The following is a 10,183-nucleotide window of genomic DNA, read 5'->3' as shown; positions in this document are numbered from 1 at the left end:
TGCAGTGGCGGGGAGGGGAAACTGGGGCTCACTCTTATCAAAGTTCTAGCCAGATGCAGAGCTGGGGTGAAGATGTGGACATTGTCACTCTAATGGACGTCTTTTCCCCTTGGCCTGCCTCTTTGGACTGGGTTTCTTAAGAATGGTTCCTTGTCCACATTTCATGTCTGTTCCCTCATTCACAGAGCGAATGAATGAGTGAATGAATGAAGGATCTGCTTAGATCTGGCTGCCACACTTCTTGGGACCCAGCTAGCTGGCCTTAAAGATGGAGCAACATATGGTCTCTCTCAAGGTCTCTGGGTGAGCAGTTGTCTAGGGCATCTTAGCCACGTTGTGTCTATTTTTGATTTTTCAAATCTTGTCCCGCCAAAGCCTGTAATCTGACTGCAAAGAGGTCCCGGTGGATGGTGACACTGTCTCTGGGGATGGCAGGAAAATCAGCAGAATGGCCTCTTCTCCCCCATGACAGCTCAGAGGCTTTCTCTGTTACACTGAGGGAGCTTTATTTTTCTGTGGCCTACTCATACTGAAACGTGTGTGTCAGTGACAGCCTTGTGGCTGCTGCAGTGCCAGGACCCCACTGTGTGTATGCAGGGTCCCTAGAGGGGCTATCACTCAGGCAGTTCAAGCATGTGACCCTGTGCTGTGAGTGAGCACCTGGTCTCTTGCTATGGGAGTGTGGGGACTTATGCCAGGTAAAGAGTCTTGCCAACTCAGTTATTCGGGGGCTTATTTCAAGGTGTTTTCTTTCTCAGGATGTCATCAGGTTAAGTATGTCAGTAGGATGTGTGTGTGTGTGTGTGCACCACACATGCATGCACCACCAAATTTCCCCACTCCTCTCCTGGGCTTCTAAAGAGGAAAACCACATTGTCCTCAATTGTCCTGGAGCTAGGAGCATCTGGCTTAAAGTTGAACAGGAGCCTCCCAGCATCCTTCTGTGGATATCCCAAAGGCGATTGGTTTGGGGCCGAGTGGTGTGAAGGCAGGAAGACACGCCCAGCCCAAGACGGCCACTTCTGGAACCGCCCAGGCTGGAGCAGCGGCCAAGTGCCTTAGCATGGAAGAAGAGAGCCTGTGTTCAGGGGACCAGGCGGGTGAGACACACGCATAAGCAGGGACTGCCCGCTGGTGTTTTCTTTGGCTACATGAGTCTGTGTGCAACTTGAATGGGAGGCCTTGTGCTTTTATTTTTTTTTTTTAATGTGCTTTTTGGTTAACAACAGAAGTCCCTACAGTTGGCCCTCTGTGTCTGCAGGTTCTGCATCCGTGGATTCAATCAACTGCAGATGAAAAGTTTTCAGAAAAAATCCCCCCAAAATAACAATACAACTAAAAAAAGACATAAAAACAATACTGTATAACAACTATTGACATAGCATTTACATCGTATTAGGTATTATAAGTAACCTAGAGATGATTTAAAGAATACGGGAGGATGCGCATAGGTGATATGCAAATACCACAGCATTTTATGTCGGGGACTTGAGCATCTGCAGATCTTGGTATCTATGGGGGTCCTGAAACCAATTCCCCTCTGACATTGAGGGACGACTTTATATAAAATATATGAATACTTGCTCGTAAAAAAAAGTTCAAATGGAGGAAAAGAGAGAAAGTTTCCCCCATTTTATTCCCCTCCTGAGCTATTATCACCATCATTGATGTGGATCTTTCTAGACCCTTTTCTGTGTACCAGGAGCCTGTATGTATACATATTAATATATATTTTACATAACTTGAACTAAGTGTAGGTGAACTTGAACATGTATAATTATCTTGCAATTTGTTTTTCAATTCAAAGATACCAGCTGAAAAATTTTCCATGTCTCAGCAATAAGTCTACCCCGCGTTTTCCTTCATCACTGCTGGTATTCCTTTGAATGGTTATAGACTTGTTTACCTGTTTCTCCATTGACTGATCATTTTCTCTGTCACAAATGACAGCGATATCCCGACACATCCCTCTTCGTGTGGTTCATGAACATTTCCATAGGGTGGATTTCTAGAAGTGGGGCCTTGGGAGCAGGTGTGCTCAGTTTGAGTTTTGATGATTACGGCCAAATTGCCCTTCTGCACAGCTCTGTTGCTGCATCCACCCACAAGGTATGGGACTGTGCTACTTCCCCTATCTCTGCCATCACTGGTAATTACTGATTTATCATTACCATTTTTTGGTAGCCAAGTTCCCGTGTGTCTCTGGTCCTCCAAGGAAGGCCCAGCTGGTGGACATGGGGGAGAGGCCCCTCACTGCAGCTGGGCTGCAAAAAAGGGATGCTCATCTTCCGAGGCTGCTGTCTTCAATGATGAGCTGGGGTGAAGATGTGGATATTGTCACACTAGTTGACATCTTTTTCCCTTTGGCCTGCTTCTTTAGACTGAATTTCTTAAGAATGGCTTCTTGTCCACATTTCATGTCTATGTCCTTTTCACAGAACTTGGATGTGTGCCCCCAGGGATCTGAACCATGTCTTCATTATTCACCGGATCACCTGAGGTCAGGAGTTTGAGACCAGCCTGGCCAACATGGCTAAACCCTGTCTCTACTAAAAAATACAAAAACTAGCTGGACATGGTGGTGCACGCCTGTAATCCCAGCTATTCGGGACGCTGAAGCAGGAGAATAGCTTGAACCTGGAAGGCTGAGGTTGCAGTGAACTGAGATCACGCCACTGCCCTCCAGCCTGCGTAATAGAGTGAGACTCCATCTCAAAAAAAAAAAAAAAAAAATGAAGGAACTTAGAAATATGTCTCAGCATGGGTAGGCCATAAAAACACATTACTAATTGAAAAAAGCTCTGGTGCTATTTATGTTTAAAAAAAACCCACCAAACAATATTCTATATTTTCTTTCCATTTTTATTTTTATTTTCGTAGAGACAAGGTCTCACTATGTTACCCAGGCTGGTCTCGAACTCCTGGCCTTAAGTGATCCTTCTGCCTTGGCCTTCCAAAACACTGGGATGATAGGTGTGAACCACCGCGCCCTGCCATTATTTTCAATGGCTTAATATTAGAATATGTTAAAGTTTGGGAAAAGGTGAGACTAACAGAAGTGGCTACTCTAATGAGAGAAGGCAGGACACTGGGGGTGTGGCCAAAGGAAACCTAATACTTTATCTGTAATGCTATTTTTTTTTTTCTTTTTTGAGATGGAGTCTCGCTCTGTCGCCCAGGCTGGAGTGCAGTGGCACGATCTCGGCTCACTGCAGCCTCTGCCTCCTGGGTTCACACCATTCTCCTGCCTCAGCCTCCTGAGGAGCTGGGACTGCAGGTGCCTGCCACCACACCCAGCTAATTTTTTTTTTGTATTTTTAGTAGAGATGGGGTTTCACCGTGTTAGCCGGGATGGTCTTGATCTCCTGACCTTGTGATCTTCCCCTCTCGGCCTCCCAAAGTGCTGGAATTACAGGCGTGAGCCACCATGCCCGGCCATTATTTTTGTTTTAACAGAGAAAATGTATCCACATGCTACGTGTTTGATTAAAAATTACAAGGCCAAGCATGGTGGCTCAAACTTGCGATCCCAGCACTTTATGGGGCTGAGGTGGGAGGGTCACTTGAAGCCCTGAGTTTAAGACTAGCGTGGGCAACATAGTGAGACCCCCATCTCTACAAAACAAAACAACAACAAAACTAAGCTGGTGCATGGTGGCATGCACCTATAGTCCTAGCTACTTGAGAGGCTGAGGTGGGAGGATATCTTGAGCCCAGGAGCTCGAGGCTGCAGTGAGCTGTGTTTGTGCCACTGTACTCCAACCTGGGCAACAAAGTGAAATCCCATCTCTTTTTTTTTTTTTTGAGACGGAGTCTGGCTCTGTCGCCCAGGCTGGAGTGCAGTGGTGCGATCTCGGCTCACTGCAAGCTCCACCTTCCGGGTTCACGCCATTCTCCTGCCTCAGCCTCCTGAGTAGCTGGGACTACAGGCGCCCGCCACCGCACCCACCTAGTTTTTTGTATTTTTAGTGGAGACGGGGTTTCACTGTTTTAGCCAGGATGGTCTCAATCTCCTGACCTCGTGATCCGCCCGTCTCGGCCTCCCAAAGTGCTGGGATTACAGGTGTGAGCCACCGCGCCCGGCCAAAATCCCATCTCTTAAAAAAAAAATTACGAATGAACAGATACATAGTTTTCCTCAAAGACTGGCCAGATGAATGCGCCACACAGACCGATGAGGCACACTGCAAAGGGGCCCTGTGGTCGAGGTTGCTTGGAGAGGCTTTGGGGAAGCGCAACTCATTTCTTTTCCCTTCTGCCAGTGGGTAGGATTGGAGAGAGGTGTTTGGACAGGCACACTAAGGGCCGCGATTGTGAACTTCATGGCATCCATTCATGGGCAGCTTACTGTGCACCAGGCAGGGTTCAAAGCACCTTTGTGAAAATTGTCTCATTTAGTCCCTGCAGAGGGCCGTGACATATGATTTATTGTCTTCAGTGTCCGTTAAGGAGACAAGCTGAAGAGAGTAATTTGCCCCAAGTGACCTCGCTAGTGTATGTGTGTGCGTGCATGTGTGCACGTGTGTGTGTGTGTGAAGGTGTCTGTCTGTCCCAGAGGCAGATGCCATGAGAATGGGGACTCTTGCTCCCATTCCCTGGATCTGAGCCTGGCATGCAGCTGTGCTCAGGTATGTGGGTGAGTAACGAAGGCCTGGTTCAGGTCCTGGGGGGCACACATCCAAGTTCCCGTATGTCTCTGGTCCTCCAAGGAAGGCCCAGCTGGTGGACGTGGGGAGAGGCCCCTCACTACTGCTGGGCTGCAGGGAAGGGGTCATCTTCCAAGACCACCATCTTCAATGATAGGCCTCATGGCCTTCTTCCATGTCCAGGAGAGAACCTGGGTCCCCTCTGCTGTCTTTAAGTTGGTTTTCTAGATGGACTCAACCTCGGTTGCCTTGTCCTGCTGCTGGGCTTCCCCCACCTATGATCCCTGTCTCAATAAACGGCACCTCCTTTTGTTTCCCCTGGGGTAGAGGCAAAAACCTTCGGTCATCTTTGCCTGCATGCTTTTTTCCTGATACCCCTGTATCTGCTGAGGCAGGGGCTTTCCCATCACTGTCACTGCAGCGTCCCCGAGGGCCATAGCAGCGCCTGAGCTCCTTGCCACCCCTTCAACACCAGTCAGGTTACAGAATGAATGAGGCGGGCGCGACCCCCAGCCCTGGCCTCAGGCTCTTTAGCTCACCCCTGCCTCCCTCAGCCAGAGCCACACAGTGAGCCTTGGGGAGCCCCGGCACCAGGGCCAGCCAGGGATGTCACCGGCTGTCCCTGAGTTTGTGCCTTTTGGGAAATCTTTGTCAATCAGTTAAAAGATGGGGGTTGATGGGAGATAACAGTCAATGGGCACTCGTTGTGGCCGGATACTGTTCCAAGTGTTTATGTGCATTATTCATTTTAGTATCTAAAATAGGTACTATTGTGTCTTATTTTATTGAGGGAAATGGATGCACAGAGGCGGAAAGTAACTTGCCCCATGTCACATAGCTCCAAGCGGTTGAATCAGGATTTCAAGTCTGGGGGCCGACTCCACAGCTGGTCCCGGTGGCCTCTGCGCACTGCGTCCTCCCGGTTCTCCGTGTGTCTGAGCAGGTCGACTGCATGCTTAAGGCGGGCGGCGGGGGGTGCCCTTCTTATATTCTCTTCCTGGGCTGCCCCTTCCTTTTCTGTGCATCACCAGGGAACAGCAGGGTCCCTTCGAGGCTTTGTCCTAATCATCACCCCGCCAAACTTTGCTGGTGCAGAGTGCACCCTGGCCTCTCCCTTCCGGGGGTAGTCTGAGACCAGGGACATGTTCTCCAATCAAAGGCACCAAGTGAGGCTCCCGGGGAGGCCACCTGTTCCTAGCCCAGGGCTCCCAGTGACCCCGGGGGCTGGACTCCCACCCATCCTGCAGGGGCCGCCCGCTCTGCGCCTTTATCAGCCCCCCTGCGGAACCTGGGGGGGAGGCCCAGTGTCTCCACCTACCGGGCGTTTCCTGTAGGACCCCCTTGTTTGGACATGTGGGGCAAAGCCCTAGAACTGATCACTGGGCACAGGTGGGGAGGGGGCTCCTCGAGGACAGCTTGGATCACAGGTGTGTGCCAATTCTGTTTTGTTTTTCTTCCTCTTTCCTGCCATTGAACTTCCTACTCCTTCTAGCATGTGAGAGACAGCTTCAACTTACTCCCTGGCGACGGCTGAAAAACATGGGCTATTTTTAGTTTGTGTGAGTCTAGTTTATTTGCTCCTGGTAGATTTGCCTCTCCCTGTCTTCGTGAGTGTGTGTGTGTTTGCACACACGTGTGTTGGTGTGTGTACACAAGTGCTGATGGTGAAAACAGTGACACACACACCTGTGTAGGCATGCACACACCTGCCTTGATGTGTGACGACGTGATGATGTGTATGCAGACACCTGTGTTGATGTGTGCCTACATATGTTGACACAGGCACACATGGTGTGTCTGTACATGCAAATGGACACACATGAACACACGTGTTTATGCATGTCCTTGTGTGTTGATGTGTCTGCACATACATGTTGATGTGTCCCGCTGTGGTTGGCCTTTCTGGGGCCAGGCCCAGCACCTGGGGTTTCCAGGAAACATTCCCTGTCCCTTCCCGGAATGGCCGGTACTTGCTGTGCCTCCGCCGGGAGATGCACCCTGATTAACTAGAACGTGGCGAAGCTCAGCCACCTGGAATCGCCTTACCCTGGCCTTTGGTTTCTAGCAAATGGGATGGAAGTGAGTCCCCATGGAGGGCTTGCTCCATGAAGGTGTTTTTCCTGGATGAGTCTTGGCCCCAGTGGCGATTTGCTGCAGGCTTGTTGGCACTGTCATTCGTGGGTCCTGCATGGAGGTTCCTTAGTGTCCAGAGGGTGATTCCATGTCTGTGGTCAGCAAAAGAGAGGCCCCTGGGGCCATAAGCCACACCCCCCAAGGCTGAACCCAGAGAGTTTGTGGTTTAAATCTTGGGCCTGGAGGATTCTGTGGAGGAGAGTTCGGTCCAGGCCTTCTGCTCCAGGAGGCGCTGGCAGCTCCGACACCACAGACACATTAATTGTGCGGAGAATTCAACGCTAGGGCTCAGTCAAAAATCAAAAACGCAAAACAAAAAGAGAATCCCTTTTATTTACCTCGTCTCCCTCCCCCTGTTTGGACATGACCTTGAGCTCTGCTGGCCCACAAGTGGCCAGGCTGGAGCTGTCTTGCAAAGAGAAACAAAAACAACACAAAAAGCTGCGTTCTTGACTTTGAAGCCTTAAAGGGCCCAGGGGCTGGCTCCCTGTGGGTGTTGGGGGCGATTTTCCTCCCAAAGCCTGCGTGAGATATGGAGACACTCCGCCTGCTCAGAAGCTCCCCAGGTCCCGGGTTCCAGGAAGCCTCATGGCCCAAGGCCTGGCCGTCTTAATTTTCTTGTTTTCTTTCCCTCCACTCCACTGTTTCTTCCTGTTCACTGATTGCCTGTGCTGGGGAGGGGGAAGGAACGGGAGGGGCCTGACCTTGTTCACTTCCTGGCATTTTGGGTGAAGTTCCTTACACCTTCTCTGGAAGCTTCTAGAAGGACCCTTGAGGCGCTTTAAATCTCCATTCTCTGGGTTTTCCTCCCACCTTCCTGGCTGCTCTGTCTTCTTGCCTGCTGATGCCTCCTCATCTCCCTGGCCTCCTGCCTCCTGCTGGTGGAGCTCCAGGCATCCTTTCTGTGTGTCCTCATCCCTCATCCCTGGGGTGGGCTCCTCCAGCCTTGCGCCTGAATGGCATCTCTGTCCTGACCACTCCCAAATTGGTATCCCTGGGCCCAGACCTTTCCCCTGAACCCCACCCCCGAGTGTCCAACAGCAGAGTCCGTATCTCAACTCGGGGTCAAAGGCAGCTCACGCTCGCCCCGGCTGGCTCCTCATCACCCTCGGCCACACCTGTGGCTCCCACCAGCTTCCCACTCCATCATAGCCCCCCCATCTTCCAGTTGCCCGGGCCAACATCTTGCACTCAGCCTTGACTCTGTTCTCTCCACTTCCCTCAGAGAACCCGTCAGAAAGTTTTCTAGCTTCATCATCTAAATATACCCAGATTCCAACTACTTCTCACCACGCCCGAGGCGCCATCACCTCTGGTCCAAGGCACCATCACCTCTCCCCCAGATTCCTGCATCCGCCTCCTCACTGGCCTCCCTGTGCTCATCCTTGCTCCCCAGTGGGGTTTCTCAATAAGCAGCCATGGGAGCCCATCAAGATTGCACTTAGCACCTCCTCCCCTCAAAGCCCTGACATGGCCAGACCCGTCCCCTAGGAGTCACAGCCAGGTCCTAACCTGGCCCAGGGCCTGTGCCATCCACCCCTGCCACTTTTCTGGCGACGTCCGCATTCCCTTTTCCCTTGCACAATGGCCTCCTGGCCATTCCTCAGCCCCATGGGCCCAATCGCCTTAGCTCTCCTGACACAAGCCCTCTCATCTCCCGTAGGTCTCTGTTCAGCTCTCACTTGCTCACGGAGACCCTCCCCTGATTCCGTTTGTGCATCATGCAGGTTCCCCCTTGTCCCCCTGTGCTGCCAGCCCTCCTTACCCGCTCTGCTTAGACCTGTCAGCCACTGTAGATACCCTGGAACTTCCCTGGGTATCATGTTGATTGTTTATTGTCTATTTCTCCCCATGAGAATGTCGGACTGTGAGGGCAGGGACCTTTGTGTTATTCGTTGCCGTGACCCAAGCCCCTGGAACGATGCCTAGCACATAATCGCAGGTTCTCAAATATTTATTGAAAGGATGTTTAAAAGACAAGGGTTGTTTCACAGGATGGTTCGTGACCAGTGGCAGGTTGTGGTCCTGTGCAGGGCAATGGGGCCTACTCCTCCACCTGCCGTGGCCGTCGCCCCAGACCGAGCTGCCACCGTTGTTTCCCAGTGGATGCTGGAGTGTCATCATGGGGCTGTTTGCTCTGCTGATTTATACCACACTGTTGTCACTTCTCCCCATCAAAGCCAGGATGCTCTTTAAAACATGCAAATTGGGCCGGGCACAGTGGCTCATGCCTGTAATCCCAGCACTTTGGGAGGCCGAAGTGGGTGGGTCACCTGAGGTCAGGAGTTCAAGACCAGCCTGGCCAACATGGTGAAACCTCATCTCTACTAAAAATACAAAAATTAGCCAGGCGTGGTGGCATGTGCCTGTAATTCCAGCTACTCGGGAGGTTGAGGCAGGAGAATTGTTTGAACCCGGGAGGTGGAGGTTGCAGTGAGCCGAGATTGCACCATTGCACTCCAGCCTGGGTGACAGAGCGAGACTCCGTCTCCCAAAAAAAAAAAAAAAAAAAACAAAACTATGCAAACTGGATCATTTCAAGAAGCTGAATAAAATCTTCCTGCATTTGGTATCAAAGCTGTGAGCCTCATTTTCGTGGGCCCTGCCCATCTCAACTCAGCATTCTCACCCCACTGCAACCTCACAGGCCTTCCTTTTCCTCCAACGTGTCACATGCTGTCCTGCCTCAGGGCCTTTGGAAGTGCTTTTCTTTCTGCCTGGACCGTCTTTTTGTCTCCCTGGCTCTTATGCTTGGTTCCTCTTTTATGTTTAAATGTAACCTTTTGAAGCTTAAATGTAACCTTTTGAAGAAGACACCCCGTGATTGCCCACCCCACCCAATGGACAGTTGCCCCCCACGTCCACTGTCTGTGCCATCTGTGTGGTTTTTCAGCTGGAGGGCAATGGCCCCATCTCGGCTCACTGCAACCTCCTCCTCCCCGGTTCAAACGACTCTCCAGCCTTGCCTCTTGAGTAGCTGGGATTACAGGCGTGCACCACTATGCCCAGCTAATTTGGTATTTTTAGTAGAGATGGGGTCTCACCATGTTAGCCAGGCTGGTCTCGAACTCCTGACCTCAGGTGATCCACCTGTCTTAGCTTCCCAAAGTGCTTGGATTACAGGCATGAGCCACCGCGCCTGGCTTGCGCCATCTGTGTTATAACCACACCATGCTATTCCCTTCTGAGCCCTTAATAGTCTCTGAAATTATCTCATCCACTTGTGTGAGTTCCATGAGGACAGAGACTTTATCTGTCTCGTTCATGGCTGCATTCCATAGTTGGAGACCCTTGTCCAGGGCAGAGAACCACCTAGCGTAGGACCTTGGGCTAAGGCAGAGAGGCCCCAGTGGGGGTCCTCCGCAGCGTGGACTTTGGAACCAGACTCCCTGAGTTCAGCAGTG

The 10,183-nt window shown here is 51.2% G+C and overlaps 1 protein-coding gene across 19 annotated transcripts in view, besides 3 other annotated features; it reads left to right on the top strand.

Moving 5' to 3' along the window:
- Positions 1-10,183, top strand: part of SCARB1 (scavenger receptor class B member 1) — an 87,009-nt gene that overhangs the window by 1,182 nt on the left and 75,644 nt on the right. The gene's annotated exons all lie outside the window — the stretch shown is intronic.
- Positions 465-991: an enhancer, noted in NCBI's record as "H3K4me1 hESC enhancer chr12:125346238-125346764 (GRCh37/hg19 assembly coordinates)". NCBI's record gives its function as "activates a minimal SCP1, AML or CMV promoter by ChIP-STARR-seq in naive H9 embryonic stem cells {active_cell/tissue: H9 hESC(naive)}" and the evidence as "EXISTENCE:reporter gene assay evidence [ECO:0000049][PMID:30033119]".
- Positions 512-641: a silencer, noted in NCBI's record as "silent region_5066". NCBI's record gives its function as "represses an Ori minimal core promoter by ATAC-STARR-seq in GM12878 lymphoblastoid cells {active_cell/tissue: GM12878}" and the evidence as "EXISTENCE:reporter gene assay evidence [ECO:0000049][PMID:35858748]".
- Positions 5,030-5,159: an enhancer, noted in NCBI's record as "active region_7305". NCBI's record gives its function as "activates an Ori minimal core promoter by ATAC-STARR-seq in GM12878 lymphoblastoid cells {active_cell/tissue: GM12878}" and the evidence as "EXISTENCE:reporter gene assay evidence [ECO:0000049][PMID:35858748]".

Source organism: Homo sapiens, chromosome 12 (assembly GCF_000001405.40).
Source record: "Homo sapiens chromosome 12, GRCh38.p14 Primary Assembly".
Lineage (NCBI taxonomy): Eukaryota > Metazoa > Chordata > Mammalia > Primates > Hominidae > Homo > Homo sapiens.
The sequence above is the reverse complement of the archived record's forward strand: the minus strand, read 5'-3'. Positions and strand labels throughout refer to the sequence as shown.